Raw genomic sequence first — 27077 nt, forward strand, 5'->3', positions numbered from 1 at the left:
ATAATTTTTCATTTTCCCAAGATTTGAAATGTCATTTTTGTCATGTTATTACCATTTATGTTCATGTGTTTTCATATACACATGTCCATTTCTCTTCCACAGATCAGACTATTTATTTTCACTGTCATGCTGTTTTAATCACTGACTGGATTTTAGAAACTACAGATGTCCAAACTGGCAAAGCATAGTTCTCTAAAGAAGTTGGCACATCCTGGGACCAAAATCAACAATCCCTGTTTGGAACAAAAGCAAGAACTTCCCTGGACCTATTTTGGCACTAAAAAGAAGCACAGGAAGTAGTCATGAATGAGGACACTTTAGATGTGCCATTTTGGCAGGAAGCAGCCACCTGTGAGGCATGATGGGAAAAGAGAGGCATCTTTGTAAACAGCCTTGACATTGTTGAACTTGATTGATTGCAGAGACACAGAGACTAAAAGTATCTACTTGCCAGCTTAAAACATGACCATGGCCCCACCTCAAAAGGATCTCCTATATAAAATTGATAACAGAGAGAACTTTCCTCCCTTCATCCTGTTACGCTTAAAGAGGTCCCCCTGCTCCTGTTAACACCAGTGTCTCCACTGTGCATTCTCTCCTGCCACTGCAGGAGTCTGTTGAATATACCCTTTCTTCCCTTAATCTTCAGTCTCTCTTATTCTCCCAGATCCTTCCCATTAGCATGCAAATATGCTCAAAACAAACAAACAAACAAAAACTCCCCCAAACACAAAAACCAAAAAGTCTTCTTTCAATTCTCCCTACTCCCTAGTGCCATCTTACTATCTCCTTTTCCTCACAGGCAAACTTCTTGAAAAAATTGTCTGTACACCATATCTCCATTTCTTCACCTCTCACCCGCTCTTTAAGCCCCTTCAATATGACCTCTGCCTACCCTTTTACTCCATTAATCCTCTTTTGCTTAGATCACCAAAGACATCCATGTGACTAAAGCCCCTGGACCTTTTCATGTTTCATTTTACCTGACCTTTCCACAGCATTGCCTCTGTTGGCCTTTCTATTCTTTCTGAAGAAATTTTTACTCTTGGCTCTGCATTGTATTCTTCTAGATCTTTTCCTATTTCTGTACCTTCCTTTTCAGTCTCCTCTGCTGGGTCCATCTCTTCTGCTTAACTATTAAACATTTAGTTTGTTAGAACTGTGTCTGAGGCCTTCTTCTCTTCTTACTTCAACCCTTCTGTGTTAACTCATCCAGTTGCATCTTTTCAAAATTACCACTTACATTCAAACTGCTTTCAAATATATATATATACATATATATATGTGTGTGTATGTGTATATATATATATATATATATATATATATATATATATGCCATCTTTGTCATCTAAGTTCTAGACCCCTATATCCTAAAGTCAACTTCCTACTGGACACCCCTACCTAGATGCTCCAAGGGCACCTGAAACCCAATATATCCCAGACTCAACTCATAATCTTCTTTCATCTTTCCCCATTAAAGCCCCCTTCTTCCCCTAAAATGCTCCCTTTATGAGTTATTGTATCAGCATATCTTAAGGCACTTATACCAGAACCATATGCATCATCAAGTCCTGAATCTTATGCCCCTTAGATAGCTCTCATATCCTTCCATTTCCCATCAGCCCCACTGTCACTACCCCAGAGTTCAAGCACTGCCATCTTGTACTTGGCTTCCTCCTAACTGGTTTCCCTGACAACATACTTCCCCTCTTATATCTACAAGTATCCAGAGTAACTTTTATAAAATGCAAATGTAACTTCCCTGCCTCCAATCCTTTAATGGCACCTCACTCCTCTTAGCATGAAGTCCCATATCCTTAATGCAGTCTAGGAGTTTCTTGGGATCTGGCCCCAACTCATCCCTCTAGCCTTATTTTCAGTTCTCCTGGTTCTCTAGGTTACAGCTACATTAGGCTTTTTCATTCCTTCAAATGTTATTCTCTCTTCTGCTTTGCAGTCCTTTCAGCCTGGGATAATTCCCTGGCTCCAGGCAAATCTTACCATATTTCACTTAGTATCCTGCACTTCCTCTTTAAGGCACTCACCACTCCAGTAAGCTCACTGCTGTGACCCAGCTTCTGGAATTCTGGCTTGGACAACAGTGAAATCTCAGCTTGCATGCCAAGCATAGAAGGTTCACATGCTTTGAGTTCAGTGAATTGTCAAACTCCTGTTGGTTTGGGCCAAACTTTCTTAAGCATAATCCCTCTTAAAGAGGTGGCCTTTATAAATCCTATTACGACTCTGGCAGCATGAAGCATCCTTCAGGTGTCTCATGTGTGTAATGAATATAACATCCAACCAGAGAAGATGATGTGCCCTATGCTCAGAAAACTTTGACCTCTTTTATTTAACCTAAGGTTTCCTCTCCTCAGATTTTCTTTAAAACATCATTGTTTCTCTGGCCTTTCTTACTCTACTGTCACAGCATCTTCCTTGAGGGGAAGTCTACCCTACCCCAACATATTTGCCTATTACTTATTTTCTTCCTTTTTATCAGTTCACACTGTTATAAATTAGCATCACTCCCGCCGCCAACCACCCAAATATCACCTTTGTGCATGCACTTGTCTTCTGGGTAATGGAGGTCAGGCTGTGAGCAAAACAGACACATCTCCGCCCTCATAGATTTTACAACCTAGTAAATCATAATAGCCAAATGTGATGAGTATTTACTACATGCCAGTCGTGGTTCTAAGCATTTTGCTTGACCTGACTCATTTAATCCTCACAAAACTCTACAAGATAAGTATATTCTCACTACTTTACAGGCTAAAAATCTGAGGCACAGAAAAGTTACTGAAGCTCCAAGGTCACACTGTGTACCATAAGTGGAAGAGCTAGGATGCAAACCCAGGCAGCCGGGTTCCAGAGCAGTGTTCTAACTACTACCCTCTGTTGCCTCTCATTCATCCCATGACCTTCTTTTGTCTTACCTACACTGGGATGTGTTTGGGACATGCATTTTGCTTGTTGCTATCTCATTCTTGCAGAATGCATTGTACTTGCTATTTGTGTCTGCGAACTTTCTCCTCAGCTTCTTACATAGCTGATTCCTTTATTTAATTCAAATTTCTGTTCTTCTTGGAGAGAATTTTCCATCTCCTTTCCTACTTTATTTTTTCTCCTACTTCTTATATCTGAATATCTATTCATCTTTCATGTCCCCTTCCCTGCTAGGATGTAGATTCCATGAGCGCAAGCTTATATCAGTTCACCACTGAATCCCAGCACCTGAAGCAATGCCACACACACAACAGGGGCTCAACAAATGCTTGTTGATAAGAGAATAAATGAAAGAAGAGAGAAGGAGGAAGCTTAACAGTTTTCGAGAATAAATGAAAAAAACAAACTGTTTGTATTCAATGTTTGCTGTTTGATGACTAATAGCAAAACAAAAACCAAAACAAACAAACAAAAACCAAGAAACCTATCTGGCCAAGAAAGAAATTGTGGGAATAGCAGCTTGGTCAAATTCTATGCCATGAAAAATGTTAGAAGTACAGACTCTATTACAATGAACAGTGATATTAAATAATTATCAATGAGAAAAAATAATAGAAGAGAGTCTGTACACGTTGTTGTTGAGAAATGAGTACACATTTCTCAAAGCACAAACTCAGGTATGCAAGAAATGTAACTTAGTTGAATTCAATTTATGCTTCAAGTCCTCACCATGGGAACTGTCTCTTGTTAAGTCAATGTTGGGTACTATTTCAATATCTGAGTCTGTGTCTGAGTTTTGTAGGGCTCAAACCTGGAGGAGAGTTGAGCTGGTCCTTTGTCATTGCTAAGCGTATTTTGCCTGAGTTGTAGCTCCCATCTGGTCCCTGGTGGGAGAGTCCATGAAGATGGCTCTTCTCTCTCTAGTTTCCCTCTATGGGTCTCACTCATCTTTTTCCATAGCCTTCACTGGGGGCTAAGTCATCACCCAGCTCCTCTCTGCCATTCTGGAGCCACAGGGCTCTCTCTGAGGCTGCTTCAGGCCTTCTCTAACCTAAGGTTGACCTAAGCTAAGGTTGCCTTTCCCCAGATTTTCTTAAAAACGTCTTTGTTTCTCCTGCCTTTCTTACTCTACTCTCACAGTATCTTCCTTGAGCGGAAGTCTATCCTACCCCAAGATACCTGACTATTCCTTATTTTCTTCCTTTTTATCAGTTTACACCACTATAAAGTAGCATCACCCCCCAGATATCACCTTTGTTAATGCACTGCTCTTCTAGGTAATGGAGATCCAGCTGTGAGCAAAACAGATACATCTCTGCATATCTGGTAAATTACTGGCTAGTTCTACTCTACAGTTTCTGTGCATGTGAATCTCTCTCTAAGGCTTGCCACCTCTGGCTTTACCTAGAAAGTAGGGCACACATTGGCTCTGTTTTGAAATCCCTCAAACATTTTTTTGGTTTCTATTGCTCACCACTTCTTCCCCTCAAATTAGGATTCAGCCTAGGGCTGGGAGGAAAACACACAGGACTCCTTCTCAGGGGCACACCAGCACTCAAGCTCCCTTACAACTCCTCCAGCCTAGGTCAGTTTAATTTGTCTAGGGGAGTAAGATAACTGGAAATGATGAAGGTTGCATTCTCCATACCCTAAGGCAAAAAAAGGCTGGATTAGAACAGACCTCCTGCTCAAGGTTAGAGGGATGCAATCACGCTCTATGGCAAAGTGTGTGGATAGGTGGCCATGACCATTGCCACTCTCTTCCTCTACCCTTTGGCTTGGAACTTAGATACATTGCTGGGGAGACTGAGTGGATTCCCACTTGATTGGTAGAATTCTAAATTAACAAGGACTTAGTTAAATTGACTGATTAATGGACTTAAATTGTCTACCAATATTCAGCATAATGTGGGCTTGAACAAGAAATTAAATTACAACTGTGTAAGTTACAACCATGAAAAATATAATTATGAAACCATGAAAAGGATAATTTTGCCATGTTGGAAAATTAAGGATGGTTAAATTTCTTGTACACCGGAGAGCTGGCCTGAAATTCTCTGATGCCTGCCAGATCACTTTTAAAAATCTAGTTTTGTGATGCATGCAAAGCAGATGCTAATTTGAACAAGAGATGAGCTAGGATATTTTATTCATCAAATTATTTTGTTTTTGAAAAATTATGCATCTAAAAAACCACATTGATAAAAGATGGTGGGGCCTAAGACATAAGAATGAGGAGTATTAGGAATTCCAGTACACAGAGATGGACGCTTTGACACGAGTTAGAGACATTGCTTCTGCTGCTCACATGGGAATTCATCATGACACAGTGGATGAACAATGCAGTGAGCAGCACTTACCCTCAAGGACGGAGGTTATGATACTGACAACACTCATTGCCCTTTGGGCCCGGAAAGGTTCATCTAAGTATTCTGCTGACAAGAAAGTCTTCTTTTGTCCTGCATCGAATGCCTGTTGAGACACAAACAGAGTCAGGACGCTCCTTTAACCTGACATCTTCATGGCAAAGTTGGATCATTCAGCCTCTTATTGGCCAATCTCATATATAGTCATATGTCACTTACAGATAGAGATATGTTCTGACAAATACATCATTAGGTGATTTCATCATTCTGTGAATATCCTACATTGTATTTACACAAACAAATGCTATAGCCTTCTATACATCTAGGCTAAATAGTGTGGCCTATTGCTCCTAGGCTACAAATCTGTACAGCATGTTATTGCTGAATACTGTAAGTATAAACAGTTAATAAACATAAAGAAAGTTTATAAAGCTTCCAACCATGAGGACTAAGCAAATGATACTAGTAGTCACTATTTATTGTTATCTGTCAGACATGTATAAAAATGTAGGCACTTTGTTATTTCATTTAACCCTCCAGCTATTTAGAAACCTTTTTACAAGGGGAGATAAGGAGGCTTGGATAATTTAAAGGACTTGCTAAATGTGACTCAGGTGGTAACTGGCACAGTTGGGACTAAAATATAGGTCCATACTAAACAGAAGGGCCTAAAGAGTCAATCTTTCACTAGCCTGGTAATTTAACTAGAATGAATCAAGGTCAGAATATCTAGACACATGATAATCTCAGGAACAGAGAAAGGAGGGTGGGGGCCCATCACAAGAGAGGCATAAATGCCTTCAGTGAGGCATTTTCTAGAGTGCTAATGCACTCCCAGCGAGCCCTGCAGGATGCCTTTGACTTTAAGGCTCTGTTTTGGTGATTCCATTTGCCCTGGAGACCTACTCTCTACCTTCTCCACTGTCTCTGTTCCTGGGGAGGGAGACCTGTACAAAATGTGTTATCCTTACCCTCTGGTTCTGGCCAGGTTTGGTTAATGGGAGACATAGGCAGGACATTCAAGGATAGAAGGAGAGACAAGTCAGGTATTTTCCCCTGGCTTCTTCTCTCCTGTGCTATGGCTGAGTAGCAGAGCTGTGATCCTCTACTAAGATCACAAGTTCTGCCAGGCAGCCTCTCTGACACATGAGGGCAGCTGCTGCTGTAGTCTAATTCTGGTCCTTTCCTTCATCCCTTCAGCCTAGGCATGTAACAGCTTCCCCCTGTTACTAGTTTCTAGGTGCCTCACTGTCCCTTATTCATTCCCTAAGCCCAGCCCACACCTCTGTAAATACTTTACTAAACTCTCTCTATTAGCCCATCGGAGTGGTCCATCTGTTTCTTGCTGGGACCCTGAATCACATGACATTGAGTCAGAGACTGAGCTAAGGCAACTCTAAGACTTATCTGTATCAGTGGAACCATTTATTGGTCTCTTTACAATTCTGTCTGCAATTGCGCTGTATCCCTGGCTAGCCAGAGAGGGCAAATGAAAAACACTAGAAACATCATTGCTGAAACTGGAGGGGAGAGCTCACATTAACTCACAGCTCCCAATCCAATGAGGAATCCCTGACTTGCCATTACACTCTGCGATTATTCTATTAAAGAGTGCTGGCCAGTTAGTCACTGTTGCCTAATTTGCTCATTTTGGCAAATTATTTCTTCTGTGAGTAAAGCAAGGAATACTGTGCTTCTATTCAGATCTGTCCTAAGAAACTTCCTGAATTTCTCTGGGTGCCATTTGCCCAGCCTAGAAGAGTTTGCATAGAGCCATAAGCAGGAAGAGAAGGGTCCTTCAGTTTTTCTCATACCTGTCCAACAAGAAAGCAGGCCTATCACTGAGGCAGTGATGTTGAGTGGGGACAGAGAAGCACTGATAAGAAATATGGGGTCAAATGGAATATAATTTGCATCACTACTGCAGAATAAACCAGGAAACCTGTTTGACCTCAGGCCAACTCAATCTCTCTCTCTCTCTGGGTCTCATCTTCTATGTCTGTAAAAAAGGAGTAGAATGGGGAGGCATTGGACAGGATGATGGCTAAAGATCCCTTCCATTGGTGATACTCAGGCTTCTTGGCTCAAGGCTTCTAGGTGGAAGACAGCCTGAGGGAGTCTGAAGCATTCACAAACTCACCGAGACATCGACAGCTCCAGGGGCAAGCTCACTAGTGGGCGGCGGTTGGTGTTCATCTTCTCCATGCCTGGAGTCAGGGTTGCTGGGTTGAGGAAGAGGGCTTCTAGGGAGGGGGCCTTGCTGGCCAGCACCCCCACCCAGCAGCAGAGAGCCCCGATGGCTTTCGTGGTCTCCAGGAAAGACTCCATCATCTGTGACTCCCTCAGGGAGTGAGATATCTCGGCCAGGGGACCGGAAATGGAACACACTGCCATGACTAGCCCGGCGTTTTCCAGAGGCGAGGCCTAGAAAAGACTGGGCATTGCCCCAAAGGAGCAAGAAGGCTGGAAACTGGTCCTCTGGGAAATCTAGAGCCCAACACTTCCCTCTACCTACTCCCATTTCCCTGCCCCTGTCTTTATGACCTTTCAGTCACTAAGTAAAGGCACAAATCTAAGGGGTATTCTAGGTATGCATGGTGGGGAAAAAGAAAAAAGGAGACTCTAGATAGACTCCGGGAAAGACCAGGAGAGAGGAGAGATTACAGCGTGCTGATGCTCAGCAAATAGGTTATCATGGTCAGGAACATGTCAGAGGAAACCTTGTCACCTGGATAGTTCAGTTGATTGCCAACCTTTGGCCACAGGGCTAGACAAAGCTGTCCTAAGTTCACTTTTCCACATGCAAAGTTGTGACCTAAGGAGGCTACTATGCACACCAGTACTGGAACATACTTGGTAAGTGGTTGTTGAATGAATAAGTGCACTTCATTGTCTGAAAATTAGGTAGTACAATTCATTAGATCCCATCTGTATGAATGTGAGAGTTTGTGTTGCAAAGGAGGAGACAAGAGCTGTACAGTGCAATGAGTTTCTAGGATCCCTCGAGGCTTGAACAGTCAACAATGGAGAGACTGAAGGAAGGGTTGCAGCCTAATTTCCTGGAAGAATAATGTCATTCCTCCAAATCAATAAACATTTCCCATCAAAATCTTCCATTGAGGGAACTGTGTGGCTTAAAGTTGCCAGAGAAAAGAGCTAATTCATAAACCCAGAGCCCTCAGAGAATTAGTGTGCTGGGTTAGGTAGTTCCCATGACCATAGTGAAACTTGACCATAATAAACCATCATTTGTGTCCTCAGGTGGTCTATAGTATGTACAAAATCTAAACATTGACTTCATACCAAACTCTGATCATACCGATTTATTCCACTCACCTTCCTTAACTCCTTTTTATTACTAAGCTACTAAAGTGGAGAATCTTGCCAATTGGGGTTCTCCTTACTAATCCCCTTATCTCACAGAACTGAAGTTTCCTCTCTTGATAATTTGAAGCCTGATCCTGTTTAGCAACCATTATTAAAAGCTCAGTATTATAAATAGAGTACTCTCTGCCTGTAATACATGCCCAAGGACTATAGAACTCATAAAATGCAAAAATCCTTCCAATTTTTGAAGCAAATGAGAAAAATTGACACATCCATATTAAGGAAGGGAATACTACATTATTTGCACTTGAGCACCAAGCAAACCAATGAAGAAACTGAGAAGAAAATTTTGGTTGCATATTTGACAGCAGTGTCTCCTTGGCCACGAGTTATTTTAGAATTAAGGTTTTGACAAATGGTGGGCAATGTCTTCTGAGTATAAGCATTAGAATTGCTTTAAAATTCATCCTCTAACGAGACCAACTGGTCTGTGATTTTCCACAAAAACCCTCCTGGGTCTCTTCTATATATTCCTCTATTTAATTTCTATTGGTTATAAAATGGCTTTAGATAAAAACTGCATTAGGTCTATTTACCACATGAATGTACCTGGGAAAAGAGGGAGAGGATGCCTTCCTGAGTGGGCTCCAATAAATCAATTAGCATTAAAGAAGTACTTAAATGGTGCCTCCCTGTCTTTGCACATACATGTTGTTCTTTCTGCCAGGAAAATACTCCTCCCCAAACTCTCTCAAGTCTTCAATTACTAGAAGAACCCCTACATGCTATTTATTGTTGATCCCAATTATGCCTTCCTCCAGGAAGCCTTTTCTGATACCTATCCAGCCCCATAAGAGTGGATGTTTCTTCCCTGATTCTCAAAACACCATGTATGTGTCTCTAATACACTATTTAACACATAGCTGTGTTTATATCTGCCTCCTCCACCCAAATGGAAATCCTTAGGGAAAAGAACATGTTCTAGTCATCTCTTTATACCAAGCACCTAGTATTGTTGAATGAACAAGTTACAGCTCCTCTTTTTTCCCTTTGAAAGTAAGCATCACTGGAGAGACAAGCACACATACCAATTATTGGACATCCAAGTGCTAATCTGTGTGGGGCTGACAGAATGGGGGAAATTAAAGCCCAATTCAGTGTCATTGACATTTCCATGGAAGCTGTGATTCATCCTGTTCTGTGATTGTCTGAACTGTGCCCCATGTATGCCAGGTGCTGCTCAAAAGGGGCAAAGCAAGAAAGAGGAGGGCACAGATGCAGATAAATGCTGAAGTGTGGATGTGTCATGAGGTCAGTGTGCATGCAAGTGTGTCTGTGTTTGTATATGCACACATAAATCTGAGGGTTGGAGAGATGGTATTGCAAAAAAGTAAAATATCCTTCGGCTTAGCACAGGAAAAGAGATTGAGAGGGAAGTGAGAGGTATAAAGCATAAAAAAATAGCCATGTTGATCCCCTTTTCCACACTGTTAGTGTGGAGCCACCCTCCCACACAGCAGATATTATCTGTCAGACCTATAGAAAGGGCATATTTGGGGTAAAAGGACTTTCAAGGGGCAGGAAGGTGGTGGGAGGAAGCGTGGCGAGGAAAGTTGCAGTGCAAATTTTAGAGTGGGAGGCAGAAAGTTATTATGGGGGGAAAAGAATTGCTACAGGGTCTGAGGTGAGGTGCTGAAGCCATTCCCAGGCTGGATTGTGTCACAGAGATGGGTGCTGGAAACTTTTCTGATAACAACAGGTGACAGCTTGAATTGCAGGACCTTAGGAAGGAGGTCAGAAATTATACCCAATAATTATATAAAATTGTGAAGTGTCAATTAAAAAAAACTAAGTAAAAAAATAAAAACCACCTCGACGCATCAGAAAAAAAAAAGGTGCATGAAGGATCTCAGCACCACGGACAGGGAACCTTGCACTCTAGAACTGCAGACCAGAGCCTCAGAAGGAAGCTGACCTTTGATGTCCGCAGACACCTTAAGATTGGCATGTTCAGTATGGGCTTCCCACCTTTCCTACAAACCGGGGTTCTTCCTCCAGTGTCCTCATCTTGGAATCACCACCCATTTGATTGCCCAATCCTGAAACCTGGGAGTCAAATTGGACTCCCCTTTCCTTTTTCCACAGTCCACAATCCCAATCTTGTTGATCCACTTCCCTAAGGTGTCCTTATAATTCACCCCTTTTCCCCATCTATAATTACACTTTCCTAGTTTAAGACACCATTTTGGAGGGGTGTCTGGATCCTTTTAGGCTCTATGCCTCCAGCTCTTTCTCTGCCACACACCTCTTCCCACTCCAACTCATTGTCTACGGCAGCTGCAATGGTGGGTAATCTTTAGAGCACAAACCTGAGCCTCTTACCATCCTGCGCTGGTTGTAAGGATCAGAGCGGGGTGATTTGTTGTCTTCTGTGGAGCCCTCTGACACTCTTGGCTTTATTCTATGCCTTCTCTCACTGGCATTTTTGGAGGTTAAAGGTGATCCATTGTGGGAGTGGAGAGAGGTTGTGTCAATCCCTAGTGCTGCTAGCACCTGCGAAGAGAGAACAGCAGGTGTAGCCAATAGTATTTGCTTGGACTTAGCATGAATGTGTCCCCCAGACATGGGGTGCCAGGGGTGAGAGATCTGAAACAGAGAAGCTGAAGGGTTAGGACCAGGGTGGTGGTGGGATTAGGCCATGGCAGGAACAGACACCTCGGGTCACCCCCACTCATTCATGGGGTACTCTGTTGGTGCCCCACCCAGATCCCTTTCACCAGGTCAGCACAGCTATCCCGAGCTGCTTGCATGGCAGCAGCTGATGGCTCATACTTGCAGCATTCTACAAAAAAAGTCTCTTTTGGCTGCCTGCTTCTGGGATAGGTATGGGGAGGGTAAAAAAAAAAAGCTGGCCCCCTTGCCTCAAGGTAGGACTAACTGTGGTACAGGTCATGCCCCAGAGTTCCCCATGGGATCAAGCTGAAGCTGGTCTCTAGCTGAGAACACTCCTTGTTTAGTTCCACCCTCTGCCCCATTCTGTTTTGCTTCATTCGCTTTCTCCTGAGAGCACTCCCTCAATAGGTCACTTGCACAAGAATCCTCACTTAGCTTCTTCTTTGAGAAAACCTGATCTAATATGGTCCCTGAGGCAAGATGATTCCTCCTATAGCTCCCTAAACGGTGCCCTAATTGAAGTGGCTAGTCCAGAACAGTATCCAAGAATGGACAGTCTGCAACCTTCTTCACAAAGCTTCCACTCCTCACAAACCTCCTGCTCCTTCCGGAGCATCTCGAGGGCCTCCTGGAACTTCTTCTCCTTTGCTTCAATTTCATCAGTGGTTGCCTGGTTCTGCTCCTCATACGCCATGGTGACTACAGCCAAGATCAAGTTGACCAGGTAGAAAGATCCCAGGAAGATTACGAGCACAAAAAAGATCATATAGATTTTCCCAGAAGTCCTCAGGGTCTGCAGGTTCAAGGGAAAGAAGAGAAACCTGTACCCATAGCACATGGACCCCTGAATTTAAGTCAGCCTCCTCCAGGAAAAGCACAGCCATGCAGCTGACCCACCAGCCTCCAACCAAGTCTGCGTGGGGGAATGCAGCTCAGTACCTGCTGGTAGAGGCGTTCCCAGGAATCCTGTGTCATGAGGCGGAACAGTGAGAGGAAAGCCCAAGCAAAGGAATCAAAGCTGGTGTAGTTAAAATCCGGGTTGTCAGAAGTTTTAAGGCAGATATAACCATCAGGGCAGTGGCTGCAGCAAGAACAGAGAAGGTCATCCCCTGCTTATTGCAGACAAGGTAGCCCAGGGCTGCGAGACAACCACAGAGTTTTATGTCAGAGATCAGAGTTCAAGACCTAGTCTTCCTCTTATTAGCAGGATGATCTTGGACACTTGGTCTGTTTAGGTATTGGTTTCTGTTATCCATAAAACGGGGACGCTAATACTTTCACGTCAGAATTTCATACACAGGGGAGTGGCCTGGGGAAGGCAGCTGACTGCCCAGACACGATACTATAAGCTCTTTGCCAGTTCATACCAGGGAAATGAGAGTCAGTAGCAATAACGCAGACTTAAAACCTGAGCCTGTTGGCATCATCTGCAGAGTTGTCTATCAAGGGAGGTCTCACATTAGCCAAGTTCACTGATTAATTATATGTAACAGTGGAAATAACACTTTCCACTTACTGAGCACTTTCTGTGTTCTTCTCTCTCCCTTTAAGTGCTTTACAAACACTATAATTTAATCACTCAATGTTCTTTCTTTACAGATAAGGAATCTGGGGGTCAGAAAGAAGTCAGTTGCCTAAAACTACGCAGGTGTCAATATATTTATTAAAAGGAGAAATATAACTGTCAAGTAGCCCAATACTTGAGTCAGCCTAGCCTCCTCCTGAAGATGGCCTATGAAGGAAGGCCAGATTAAAAATGACTGCCTGGTGAGTATTGAGGTGGGAATGCTGAACTCCTTCCTCTCTCTCATAATAGGAGGATGAGTCGATGTCAAGAAGCATCTGTCAGCTCAGGGAGCGTAAAGTGCTCTCATCCACCCTAGCAGAGATGGCCTGATCAATGAAACAGCAATGCCTCGTTTGAAGTCCAGAATTATTTTTTTAAATTTTTTTCTTTTTCTCCTGTTTTATTTACCTGCATTCCTTGTGAATACATGGAATTCTTTTACTCCCAGGATTTCTCCATGAACTCCAACCTCTGGGGCTCTCCTTATCCCAGACATCCATGTGAACAACCCATACCATGGATTAGAGCTCTGACAACTTAATTCTAATCAGTTCCAAGTCTATCTCCACTTCGATTGAAGATTGCAAGTTCCCTGGCTTTGTAGACCCACATTTAAAGATAGGCTCTTGGTTTGCTCTTCCAAGGGGCTAGGCAACCCATTTCCTGTAGGTTTCTTAATTAACTCTGAGGGCAGCCTTGTTTCTATGTCTTCTGTAGAAATCCACCATAGCCACTGCATATAAACAGTTCACTGCTCTGAGGATTAAATGAGATCACTGTATAGTGTCTTGCACTTCTGCATAGTAAATATTGTATATAAACTGCAAAGGAAAATTCCTATTGTTTTTAACCTTGGAAGCTGCTGAAAGGATAAACTGGAATAATATATGTGGAAGAACACTGAAAATTATCAACTATTTTCTGGTATCCATTTTCTGCCTTGAGACCCCTGACCTTCCTCCCACAGTGCCATTGGCCAATGTGGGCCTTTCCTCAGGACTCTGGCTTCTCTGCAGCCCCACAGAGGACCCAGGTTTAGCTTTCACGGCATGCCCCGGCAGGGTTCACTCTGTCCGTTATCCTGAGCTGGCCTCTCTCTGCCATCCCAGCCTGGTCCACTCCCCCACTGCCTGGCTGGCACCTGCCCAATAGCAGGCCTGGCCTCTCAGGGAGCTGAGCTGTAGAGGTGTGTAGATGGACCCAACAACTTTACCACAAAAAGGACTTGAGCTGCTCTGGAGCCATTGCCTTGAGAAATGCCATTATCTAGACAGAAGGATGCTGAGGGGCTCTTGGTTTACATTTAAGTCAAAGGCAAATGAAAACTGATGTCAGAACAACCCTCTCATGAGCCAAAGAACCAAATGCCAAGTGCATTTGTGAAAGAACAGTCCAAGGAACCTGATGTTGACCAAATGCTCCTGCTTGTTTCCAGTCCTCAGCTCCAACTGAGATAGTTTTCCTAGTGAGCTGATGAAGGTGGAGCCTCATGCAGGCTCCACACAGGTCGACCTGGGCAACATGGAGCCGTCAGCCTCTCAGGCACTGGGGGTGTTGTGAGCTCTGCTTTTCCAAGCTCTCAGCCATGGAGGTGGGTGAGATGGGCCTTTTTGATCTTTTGCCTAAAGTCTTTCTGCTCATGCCTTCCTCCAGTGGCCAAAGCAGCAGGCAGAGCTGAGGGGTCCTCATCCCTTAGCTTTGTCTCACATTCTGTTCTGCCACCTGGAATGGTCTTCGCTGAAACTATCTCGTATTCACCCAGCCTGGAGACATCCTACCTGCCCTTGAAAGCTCACCTCAAACACCACCTCCAGGAAGCCTTCCCTACTTTCTCTCTTGCCTCACACCGCCACCTCACTGTGTTTGCCCAGCCTATGAAGCCTCTAGTAAAGAACTTGTTTTCCACAGGGTAGCATCTTTATGTCTATGAATGAGAAATTGCAAACTAGCAGCTTATAGGCTGGATTTGGCCCACAGAAATATTTTGTTTGGCCCAACAATATGTAGACATTTTTTGGAATAGGTAGCCAATGTTTACGGTTGGGAGATTTTATATAAAAATCTAAATTTCCTATCTCTATTTTAAAAGTTGGAAGAGCTGGAAACAGTGAACCCACATTTCCACATGGCAACCAAAAGCTGGACCGAGCAGTGGGGCTGTCCCCTTTAGAGGAGGCATGAACTCTCAGCTCCTAGGTTCCCTCCTGGCCCACTCCACTCATTTGTTGTTATGAATCTGGCCTCTGTAAGAATTCGAAATTGCAAAGTCTGATACATGTGTTTTTTCCTCTACTTGTGAGGGTAATGTGGCTATAGAATGGAGTTAGCTGTGATGATTAAGTGTAGAGCATTTGACACAAATAAGTATTGGTTCCTTCCTGGGGTAGATTATTTATTAAAATGGCTATAATTCTTGTCTCTATGTATCCACACCCTTTCCAATGTGACTTTTCAGCTCTTTCCATTGAGTGATGAAGTCTATTTCTCTGTCTCTTGGATCTCTACTGGACTGCAACTTGCTTTAGTCAAGAATGTATCAGAATGTACAAAAGGTACATTGTGTTGGTTCTAAGCCTAGGCCTGAAGAAGCCTTGCAAACTTCCACTGTTTTTCTGGGAACACTGCCATGAGAACAGGCCCAGGCTAACCTGTTTGGGGGTGAGAGGCCACATGAGCAGAGACAGGACGTCCTAGACCAGCCATCTCCAAGTTAATATGCTGTCTGCATATGCATGAATGAGCCTAGTCAATGTCACCCAATGCCCATCTGATCCCAGTCCAAAATGCTGATGCACAGAATCATGAATTAAATACATTGTTGTTTTAATTCACAAAATTTTGGGGTCATTTGTTACACAGCGAAAGCTAACTCATACATTCCCTCCCCATGAGCTCTGGGTTGGCAAAGGCCATGATTTATTTATTTATACATCTTTCCCAGGACCTGCAACCCCATCTGTGCCCATAATATGCCAAGGACAAGATGGAGAAGGAATTGTTGGGCACTCGTGCTTTGTCATAAGTTGGGAACTCACCCTGAGTCAGATCCATTGCCACACAGTAAGGGGTCAGAAGTGCCTCGCTTATTTATGTAGATATCTGCTGAAGAAAGGAAGAAAAGAAAGCCTCACAGATGGTTCTGAACCCTCCAACCCAAGCCTTGTGTGGTGAATGCAATATTCCCAAGTCTTCCAAAGTGAGCTCCTTTGGCTACATGTACTCAGTGGGCATGCTGGGCCACATGGAAGTTGTAAAGTCACATCTGAAAAGAGAAGAGCTAAGCAGTGACTTCGGCTCTCAATCTCCCCCAGCAGAGGTAGAATGACTTGCCTCTAGATTTATGGCTCATTTCCTTGCAAGAGGGATGCTGAGCAACAGGAAATAGAATACCCAAAAGTAAAACACAACTCAAGAGAACCATTTTGGCAGGAAAGGGGAGTCAAAATATATGTCTATACACACACACAGGGGCTCCATATCCCCTGTCCCTATATGATACCAAGGGTCCAACCAGACCTTGGTCCCTATGGAAGAGACTCCACTCACGTTTTCTGTGAGATGAGTAGTTGGTTGTCTCATTGACAGCCATGTCATTCTTGACACATTTATTTTTGAGGTTGCCCTTGAAGAGTTGCAGCCCCACCAAGGCAAAAACACTTAGGCAGAAGATGGTGAGGATGGTCACATCAGCCAGTTTCTTCACTGAGTGAATCAGGGCCCCCACAATGACCTTCAGGCCTGCGGGAAGATGACAGTGGTATGACCACATGGATGAGGTAGCACACACGGAGCACACTTCTTCATCTTAGCCATCCTCCTTCATCTCTACATACAGGAGTGAAGTATGTACACACTCCAGGGCAGTTCCAAGACCTTTCTCATCCGAAGCTTGCATTTACTCTGAGAGGCAGGCAGAGAGTCAGGGGCTATTCTCATTATAAAGACGATGCAACTGAGACCCAGGCAATGCATTTTTTATCATCTTGAGGCTAATAAAATTCCTGACACTAGCAATTCAATTTAAATAATTTATGCTGAGTACCTACTTTTTCCAGGCACTGTGCTAGGCATGAAGCTACTAACTTCACCCCAGTAATTTGGCATCTGTCTTTCTGCATGCATCTGGGAGGCAGCTTGAGACTTGGGACACATGAACCTCACTGTGTGTGAGTGTGTGTGTGTGTGTGTGTGTGAGAGAGAGAGAGAGAGAGAGAGAGAGAAAGAGAGAGAGAGAGAGATGCAAGAGAGATAGAGTGAAACAAAAATAGACCAAGAGAAAGAAAAAGAAAGAGACACAGAGAAACAGAGAGGTGAGTTTAGCAATAGAAAGAGACTATAAGAAACACTGAGACAGTCACTGGGGCATAAATAGAACTTGTGCCAAGCACAGCTGGCAGCAAAGAAGGATACACCTGCTTGTTTAAGGAGGGATGATTTGTTGCTCTGGTAAGTAAAATCAACTTCTTTGGGAGAGCAGCTTCGCAGGTAGCAGAAAGAGCTCTGACCAGGGAAGCAATCTAGGATTTATTTTTGGTTAGTCATTTTGGTCAGCAAATAATCCACTGAGCACTACATGTGTCAGTCCCTGGACTGGGAGCTGAGTGATGGCTAAGGCAGCAGCATGTCGAGTGCCGTTGTCTGACAATTGAGGGGAAAGTCTGTAGCATTACTGAGCAGATGGGCACACAGGGGAGCAGCCCTTAACTGAAGTTCCAGAGGTGGGAATGGGGTGGGTGGAGTGTGAGGAAGGTGGGAAAACCAGGGAGGAGGTAAAACCTTGGCAGAGCCCTGAGGAATGAGTGTGAGTTGAGTAAAGAGAGGAGGAAGGATATCCCAGAAGAAGGGGCAGCACAGTAGAAGGCTGGGAGGTGAGCAATGGTGTGGAGTATTTGCAGAACCGTAGGTGGATTCCAGAGCATGGTGAGATGTGAGGAGAGGTGAGAGATGAGGCAGAAGAGACAGTATGGACAGACCAGGTCTTGCAAATAAGACTCAGGGTCTTCCCAGTTGAGAGTAAGTGAGAGAGATATGAAGGGGCAGGACCAGGGCTCTCTTCAAGAGGTGTGTCCAGTGGGAATTGGCAGAGAGTTTCCTATCTTTCCCTGCAGAGCCAGACAAGAAATGGTAGAAAAGACTTCCACTCTAGAATGGGTGTTTCTGTTTACAGATAAGAGAACGAATTCTTGGGGTGAGAGGAGAGAACCTATCAGGCCACAGAGGGGAAGCATCAAGTCCCATTTCAGAAAGTTTGCCTTGTCTCTGGCCTCCCCATCCTCACCATCAACCTCATGGGGGCTGAAGAGTAGTCGCTGGGCTACTGGTGACAGTGGAGATCTTAGAGGCCCCACACAATGAGCTTTGATGGACTACTTTTGTTTCTGAATTCTCAGTAATCAAGAATTGCCTAATTCTTTTTTCCTCTGGGTGTCTAAAGACAGGATTTTAGACCTACGGAAACAGTGAAGATACTGGGACTGCTTTCTCCCTTCCTCCCCATTTCCAAGTTTAATCCTTTAGTTTAAGGTATAAATAAAAATTCAACTGAGGGGTCTTGCCTGAATCCCACAACCAGAACAGAAAGTGAAGACATGCCCCTCCTGTTACGTATTGATTGTGAGGCCATGTGGTATGTGGGAAGAGCACTGGCCTAGGAGTTGGGACAATAGGCTTCCAGGTCACACTGTCTCTTACTAGTGAAGAGGCCTTGGGTTTATGTTTCCTATACTCCAGGCCTCAGTTCCTTTGTCTTGTAAGTGGGGACAATAGTCTTTGCCCTGGAACCTTACAGGGTTCTTGTGAAAATTAGAGAAGGGAGTTAGGCTGTGAAAACCAACATATGCTCTGTGAATAAATGCTCACCTGGGATCACAGAAACTGTTTTTAATGCTCTAAGAACTCTGAATGTCCGCAGGCCTGAGATCCCACGGAGATCTATTGCTGTGCCAACATATCTGTAGGACCAGAAGTTAGTCAGCATCTCTGCAAGCAAGGGTCCTGGGGATGCATGCAGCATAAATAAGGATAACCTGGGGTATCATTAGCCTAGAAAGGATGCAGAATGGACACTTAGAATCTAGTGACACTGCCATCTATAGACTGACACTGACACTGATTTCATTATTGCAACATCTTTCAGAGTGGACCCTTTGAGAAGATGCATTGTGATCTAGGCAACACTGCATGTGGACGGATCTTCAAACACAGGAGTTTGACCAACCAGTCTCCTCAGACACTGATTTCTCAGAAGGAGACCGCCATGTCAGGGGGGTACAAGGCTGGGCCTTTTCTGATCCACTGTGACAGGCTAACTGTTATCTCAGATTTGAGGTCTCTGACATCTCCTCATGGGCATGGGACTAATCTTGGAAAGCAACCCCCGAAGCGGTACTCTGTGGCAAGAACCCCAGGCCATACAATTCCAAATGAGGAAGCTGAACTGAGATGAAGAACCTTCTTCAGAGTGTGAGCCTGGATACACCCATAAGCCCCACATGGACACCCATGCAAATCTTTTTATTTTATTTTATTTCAATAGTTTTGAGGGAACAGGTGGTTTTTGGTTACATGAATAAGTTCTTTATTTGTATTTCAATAGTTTTGGGAAACAGGTGGTGTTGGGTTGCACAGAAAAATTCTTTAACGCTGATTTCTGAGATTTTGGTGCACCATCACCCGAGCAGTGTACACTGTACCCAGTGTGTAGTCTCTTATCCCTTACCTTCGTCTCACCTTTCCTCCCAAGTCCCCAAAGTCCATTATGTCATTGTTATGCCTTTGCATCCTCACAGCTTAGCTCCTGCTTGTAATTAAGAACACATGATGCTTGACTTTCTATTCCTGAGTTACTTCATTTAGAATAATAGTCTCCAACTCCATCCAGCTTGCTGCCAATGCCATTATTTCATTCCTTTTTACAACTGAGTAGTATTCCATGGTATGCATACACCATATTTTCTTTATGCACTTGTTGGTTGATGGGCATTTAGGCTGGTTCCATATTTTTGCAGTTGTAAACTGTGCTGCTATAAGCATGCATATGCAAGTGTCTTTTTAATAATGGCTTATTTTCCTCTGGGTAGATACCCAGTAGTGGGATTGCTGGACCAAATGGTAGTTCTACTTTTAGTTCTTTAAGGAATCTCCATAACGTTTTCCTTAGTGGTTGTACTAGTTTACATTCCCACCAGCAGTGTAAAATTGTTTCCTTTTCATTACATCCATGCCAACATCTATTATTTTTTGGTTATGGCCATTCTTGCAGGAGTAAGGTGGTATCTCATTGTGGTTTTAATTTGCATTTCCCTGATAATTAATGATGTTGAGCATTTTTTTTTCCTGTTCATTGGCCATTTATATATCTTCTTTTGAGAATTGCGTATTCTTGTCCTTTGCCCACTTTTGGATGGGATTATTTGTTTGTTTTCTTGCTGATTTATTTGTGTTTCTTATAGATGCTGGATATTAGTCTTTTGCTGGAAGCATAGATAACAAAGATTTTTCTCTCATCCTATGGGTTGTCTGTTTACTTGGATGATTATTTCTCTTGCTGTGCAACAGCTTTTTAGTTTAATTAGATCCCATCTATTTATTTTTGTTTTTGTTGGATTTGCTTTGGGTCCTTGGTCAGGAACGTTTTGCCTAAGCCAATGTCTAGAAGAGTTTTTCCAATGTTATCTTCTAGAATTTTTTATAATTTCAGGTCTTAGATTTAAGCCTTTTATCCATCTTGAATTGATTTTTGTATAAGGTGAGAGATGAAGATTCAGTTTCTTTCTTCCACATGTGGCTTGCTAATTATCCCAGCACCATTTGTTGAATAGGGTGTCCTTTCCCCACTTACGTTTTTGTTTGCTTTTTCAAAGATCAGTTGCTTGTAAGTATTTGGCTTTATTTCTGAGTTCTCTATTCTTTTCCATTGGTCTATGTGCTTATTTTTATACCAGTATCATGCTGTTTTGGTACAGGCTATACTATAGCCTTGTAGTATAGTTTGAAATCAGCTAAGGTGATGCCTCCAGATTTGTTATTCTTGCTTAGTCTTGCTTTGGCTATGTGGATTCCTTTTTGGTTCCCTATGAATTTTAGGGTTGTTATTTCTATTTCTGTGAAGAATGATGTGGTACTTCAATGGAAATTGTATTGAATCTGTATATTGCTTTTGGCAGTAAGGTCATTTTCACAATATTGATTTTATCCATCCATGAGCATGGGATGTGTTCCCATTTGTTTGTGTCATCTGTGATTTATTTTAGCAGTGTTTTGTAGTTTTCCTTGTAGAAATCTTTCACCTTTTTGGTTAGGTATATTCCTAAGATTTTTTTGTTTTTATTTTTGTTTTTTTTTTGCAGCTGTTGTAAAAGGGATTGAGTTCTTGATTTGTTCCTCAGCTTGGTTTCTGGTGGTGTACAGTAGTGCTGCTGATTTGTATACATTGTTTTTGTATCCTGAAACTTTACTGAATTCATTTATTAGATCTAGGAGCTTTTTGGATGAGTCTTTAGGGTTTCCTAGGCATACGATCATATCATTGGTGAACAGCAACAGTTTGACTTCCCCTTTACTGATTTGGATTCCCTTTATTTATTTCTCTTGTCTGATTGCTCTGGCTAGGACTTCCAGTACTATGTTGGATAGAAATGGTGAAAGTGGGCATCCTTGTCTTGTTTCAGTTCTCAGGGGGAATGCTTTCAACTTTTCCCTGTTTGGTATAATGTTGGCTGTGGATTTGTCATAGATGGCTTTTATTACCTTGGAGTATGTCCCTTCTATGCCAATTTGGTTGAGGGTTTTAATCATAATGGGATGCTGGATTTTGTCAAATGCTTTTCCTGCACCTATTGAGATGATCATATGATTTTTGTTTTTAATTCTGTTTATGTGACGTGCAGCATTTATTGACTTGTGTATGTTAAATCATCCCTACCTCCCTGGTATGAAACCCCCTTGATCATGGTGTGTTATCTTTTGGATATGTGTTGGATTCAATTAGCTAGCATTTTGTTGAGGATTTTTGCATCTATGTTCATCAGGGATATTGTCTGTAGTTCTTTTTTAAAAGTCCTTTTCTGGTTTTGGTATTAGGGTGATACTGGCTTCATAAAATGATTTAGGAGGATTCCCTCTTTCTGCATCTTTTGGAATAGTTTCAATAAAATTGGTACCAATTCTTCTTTGAATGTCTGATAGAATTCAGCTGTGAATCCAGTCTGCTCCTGGACTTTTTTTCCTTGGCAATTTTTGAATTACTGTTTCAATCTCGCTACTTGTTATTGGTCTGTTTAGAGTTTCTATTACTTTCTGATTTAATCTAAGACAGTTGTATATTTCCAGGAATTTATTCATCTCCTCTAAATTTTCTAGTTTGTGCAAATAAAGGTGTTCATAGTAGCCTTGAATGATTTTTTTTTTGTATTTCTGTGGTATCAGTTGTAATATCTCCCATTTTATTTCTAATTGAGCTTATTTGGATCTTCTCTCTTCTTTTCTTGGTTAATCTTGCCAATGGTCAATCAATTTTCTATATCTTTTTAAAGAACCCGCTTTTTGTTTCACTTATCTTTTGTATTATTATTATTTTTATTTGAATTTCATTTAGTACTGCCCTGATCTTTGTTATTCCTTTTCTTCTGCTTGGTTTGGGTCTGTTTTGTTCTTGTTTCTCTAATTCCTTGAGGTGTGACCTTAGATTATCTATTTGTCCTCTTTCATACTTTTTGATGTAGGTATTTAATGCTATGAGCTTTCCTCTTAGCACTGCTTTAGCTGTATCCCAGAGGTTTTGATAAGTTGTGTGACTATTATCATTCAGTTCAAAAAATTTTTAAACTTCCATCTTGATTTCATTGTTGACCCAAAGATCATTCAAGAGCAGATTGTTTAGTTTTCATGTATTTGTATAGTTTTGAGGGTTTCTTTTGGAGTTAACTCCGAGGTTTATTCGACTGTGCTCTGAGAGGATACCTGACATAATTTCTATTTTCTTAAATTTATTGAGATTTGTTATGTTATCTATCACGTGGTCTATCTTAGAGAATATTCCATGTGCTGATGAAAAGAATGTATATTCTGCAGTTGTTTGGTAGAATGTTTTTTAAATATCTGTTAAGTCCATTTGTTCTAGGTTACAGTTTAAGTTCATTGTTTCTTTGTTGACTTTCTGTCTTGATGACCTGTCTAGTGCTGTCAGTGGAATATTGATCCCCCACTATTATTATATTGCTGTCTATTTCATTTCTTAGGTCTAGTAGTAATTGTTTTATAAATTTGGGAGCTCCAGTGTTAGGTGCATATGTATTTAGGATTATGATATTTTTCCATTAGACCAATTATTTTATCATTATATATGTCCCTCTTTGTCTTTTTTTAACTGTTGTTGCTTTAAGGTCTGTTTTCTCTGATATAAGAATAGCTACTCCTGCTTGCTTTTGGTTTCCATTTGCATGGAATATCTTTTCCCATCTCTTTACCTTAAGTTTATGTGGCTCCTTATGTGTTAGGTGAGTCTCTTGAAGACAGTAGATACTTGGTTGGTGGATTTTTTTTTTCCTTTCTGCCCTTCTGTATATTTTAAGTGGATCATTTAGGGCATTTACACTCAACATCAGTATTGAGATGTGAGGTACTCTTCTATTCATTATGCTAGTTATTGCCTTAATTCCTTTTTTTATTGTGTTATTGTTTTATAGGTCCTTTGATATTTATGCTTTAAGGAGGTTCTATTTTGGTGTATTTTAAGGTTTTATTTCAAGATTTAGAATTCCTTTTAGCATTTCTTGTAGTGCTGGCTTGGTAGTGGAAAATTCTCTCACCATTTGTTTGTCTGAAAAAAACTTTATCTTGTCTTCACTTATGAAGCTTAGTTTCTCTTCATACAATATTCTTGGCTGGCAATTATTTTGTTTCAGGAGGCTAAAGATGGGACCCTAATCCCTTCTGGCTTGCAAGGTTTCAGTTGAGAAATCTGCTGTTAATCTTATGTAAATCAGATAACCTTTCCTTTATAGGTTATCTGAGGCTTTTGTCTCACAGCTCTTAAGATTCTTTTCTTTGTCTTGACTTTAGATAACCTGATGTCTATTTGCCTAGGTGATGATCTTTTTTGTGACACATTTCAGAGGTATTCTTTGAGCTTCTTGTATTTGGATATCTATATTTCTAACAAGGCCAGGGAAGTTTTCCTCAATTATTCCCTCAAATAAGTTTTCCAAACTTTTAGATTTCTATTCTTCCTTGGGAACACCCATTATTCTTAGGTTTGGTTGTTTCACATGATTCCAAATTTATTGGCCGATTTGTCATTTTTTTAAAAATTCTTTCTTTTTGTGTGTCTTAGTTTGGGTCTATTAAAAGCTTTGTCTTCGAGCTCTGAAGTTCTTTCTTCTACTTGTTCTAGTCTATTGTTGAAACTTTCCACTGCATTTTGTATTTCTCTAAGTGAGTCTTCCATTTCCAGAAGTTGTGATTGTTTTTTCTTTATATCTATTTCTCTGGAGAATTTTCCATCCATATCTTGTTGTTTTAAAAATTTCTTTAAGTTGGTTTTTATCTTTCTCTGGTGTCTCCTTGAATCACTTAATAATCAGCCTTCTGAATTCTTTTTTTTTTTTTTTTGAGATGGATTTTCACTCTTGTTGCCCAGGCTGGAGTGCAATGGCGCGATCTCAGCTCACCGCAACCTCTGCCTCCCAGGTTCAAGCAATTCTCCTGCCTCAGTCTCCTGAGTAGCTGGGATTACAGGCATGCACCACCACATCTAGCTAATTTTGTATTTTTTAGTAGAGACGGGGTTTCTCCATGTTGGCTTCAGGCTGGTCTTGAACTTCTGACCTCAGGTGATCTGCCCACCTTGGCCTCCCAAAGTGCTGAGATTACAGGCGTGAGCTACTGTGCCCAGCCCTGAATTCTTTATCTGGCAATTCAGAGATTTCTTCTTAGTTTGGATCCATTGTTGGGGAGCTAGTTTGATCTTTTGAGGGGTGTTATTGAACCCTCTTTTGTCATATTACCAGAATTGCTTTTCTGGTTCCTTCTCATTTGAGTAGACTATTTCAGAGAAAAGATCTGGAACTGAATGGCTGTTGTGCAGATTCTTTTGTTTCATGGGTGATCTCTTGATGTGGTGCTCTCCCCAATCCCCTGGGGATGGGGCTTCCTGAGAGCTGGACTGCAGTGATCGTTATTGTTCTTCTGGGCCTAGCCACACAGAGGGGCTACCAGGCTCTGGGGTAGTACTGGGAAATGCCTGCAAGAGTCCTGTGATGTGATTGATCTTGAAGTCTCCCAGCCATGGATATCAGCATCTGTTCTGGTGAAGGTGGCAGAGGAATGAAGTAGAGTCTGTGAGAGTCCTAGGCTGTAGATAGATTTAGTGTGCTGGCTTTCTTGAATGCTAGTTATGTTAGCAGTGAAGTTGTCATATGGACAGACTCAGGACGTCTGGTTAGCCAGGATGTTGCAGGCAGTGCAACTGGTTGTTGTTTTCTTTTTCCTGGGATCAAAGTTATTCTGTCATGAGTTGCTTTAATGGCCTGAGCTGTTTGACCTCCAGCCGGTAGGTGATGCTTTCAAGAGAGCACTAGTGCATTAGTAGAAGGGGGATCTAAGCTCACCCTAAGTTGGCCAGGGTAAATATTTTAGTTTCTTAGGTGATGAGCAGGGCCATAAAGCTTCCGAGAGTTTCTGGGTTTTGTGTTCAGCTACCAAGGCAGGTAGGGAAATACCATCAGGTGGGGGCAGGGGTAGGTGAGTCTAGACTCAGACCCTTCTTGGGTAGGGATTGCTGTGGCCACTGTGGTGGATGGGGGTTGGTTCTCAGGCCAGTGGGGTTGTGTTCCAGAGGGAATTTTGGCTGCCTCTGCTGTGCCATAGAGTTCTCCAGGGAAGTGGGGGATAGCTGCTAGTGAGAGGCCTCACCTAGCTCTCATGTAGTTGGTGAGGCTGGTCTTGCTCCTGCAGTGCCCTACTCAGACCTTGCCCCAGGCTGTGAGCTTCCCCACTGAGAAAGAAAGCATGACTTTTGGACCGCATCCCTCACTGTCTGCTTGCAGTTCCCATTTGCCCCCTGGATTCTGCTCAAGAAAATTTGTGCCCAGTTGAAATTATTACTAATTTTAGTTGAAACTTCTTTCATCCTGTGACCCCTCCCTGATTCCACTGGCTGCCTTCCCCAAGGGTGCCTGTGAGACATAGTCAGGGATGGATTCCCTGGTCTCAAGCTGGAGACTGGGAGTGCCTACAAGGCACTTCCCTTTGCTGTTTCTACTTTTATATTTTGTGTGGCTTCCTAAATTTATTTACATTCCAGGTAAGGGTAAATTCTTCTCCTGTGATCTGGATTTTCAGATTACCCAGTTGGGATGTATGTTTGGAGGCAGGTTTCCCCCCCTCACACTTTGGGAGCTCACAGTTTTTCACCTGTCTTGCAGAATTTCCAGCAGTGTGCCACTTATTTAAAAGGATCTATGAATTCTTTCAGTTCTCCTGGTATATTCCTGCAGTGGTTCTTGGAGCAAACGTTCATGGTGTGAGTCTCCACACTCTGTCCAAGTGGGACCTGCATGTTAGCCCTGTCTCCTACCCACCATTTTGTCCCCTCTCCTATCACACATGCAGATCTGCATAGAGATATACTCACGCCAGGGTAATGACGCTAAAATCCAGCCAGTTCCAAGGATCTCTCAGGTACGTGAACTCATTTAGACAAAATCCTCTTGCCAGTATCTTTATCAAGGCTTCAAAGGTGTAAATGACAGTGAAGACATATCTGGGAAGGAGGGTAGAAAAGGAGTGTCAACTGTGCCATGGAGTGTACTCAGGGGGTTCCTTCTTCCAGGAGGGAGGGATGACCTGCTCTGACTGCTCCAAGAAAAAACATGCAAAGAATATCACCAAGGTGATGAGGGGGAAGAAGGTAAGGAGAGGAAACAAGACACAGACTGAGGGAAAAAGAAGGGCCACACAAATAGATGGAGTGGGGAGGGATGTGTGTGGCTGGGACAGCCAGCAGCTTCTGCTGTTCTGGGGTTAGGCAGAGGGCAGTAGCGGGTGAAGAGCAAGGATTCTCCTGTTTATGTCTGCCAGGGCCTCCCTATCCTGCAAGAAGCTGGAGGCTCATCTAAAAACTCCCAGTTTTTAGAAACTGGAGTGCAGACTGATGAGTGGTAACTGACAGAGCAGACCTAAGAAAGCTGAAAACTGGC

General features: G+C 42.5%; 1 protein-coding gene across 6 annotated transcripts in view; it reads right to left on the bottom strand.

The window, feature by feature from the left end:
* SCN10A (sodium voltage-gated channel alpha subunit 10) overlaps positions 1–27077 on the bottom strand; it is a 119411-nt gene that overhangs the window by 47960 nt on the left and 44374 nt on the right. For 4 of the 6 annotated variants that reach the window (NM_006514.4, XM_011533993.3, XM_005265371.4 and 1 more), the window contains 9 exon segments: positions 26513–26641; positions 18739–18830; positions 16426–16617; positions 15915–15981; positions 12252–12393; positions 11908–12105; positions 11022–11192; positions 7453–7746; positions 5307–5418 (listed from right to left, as the gene is read on the bottom strand). In NM_006514.4, the coding sequence (NP_006505.4) occupies positions 5307–5418; positions 7453–7746; positions 11022–11192; positions 11908–12105; positions 12252–12393; positions 15915–15981; positions 16426–16617; positions 18739–18830; positions 26513–26641 (1397 nt within the window). 6 annotated transcript variants of the gene reach the window in all.

The sequence above is a fragment of the Homo sapiens genome, chromosome 3 (assembly GCF_000001405.40).
Source record: "Homo sapiens chromosome 3, GRCh38.p14 Primary Assembly".
NCBI classification, from domain to species: Eukaryota; Metazoa; Chordata; class Mammalia; order Primates; family Hominidae; genus Homo; species Homo sapiens.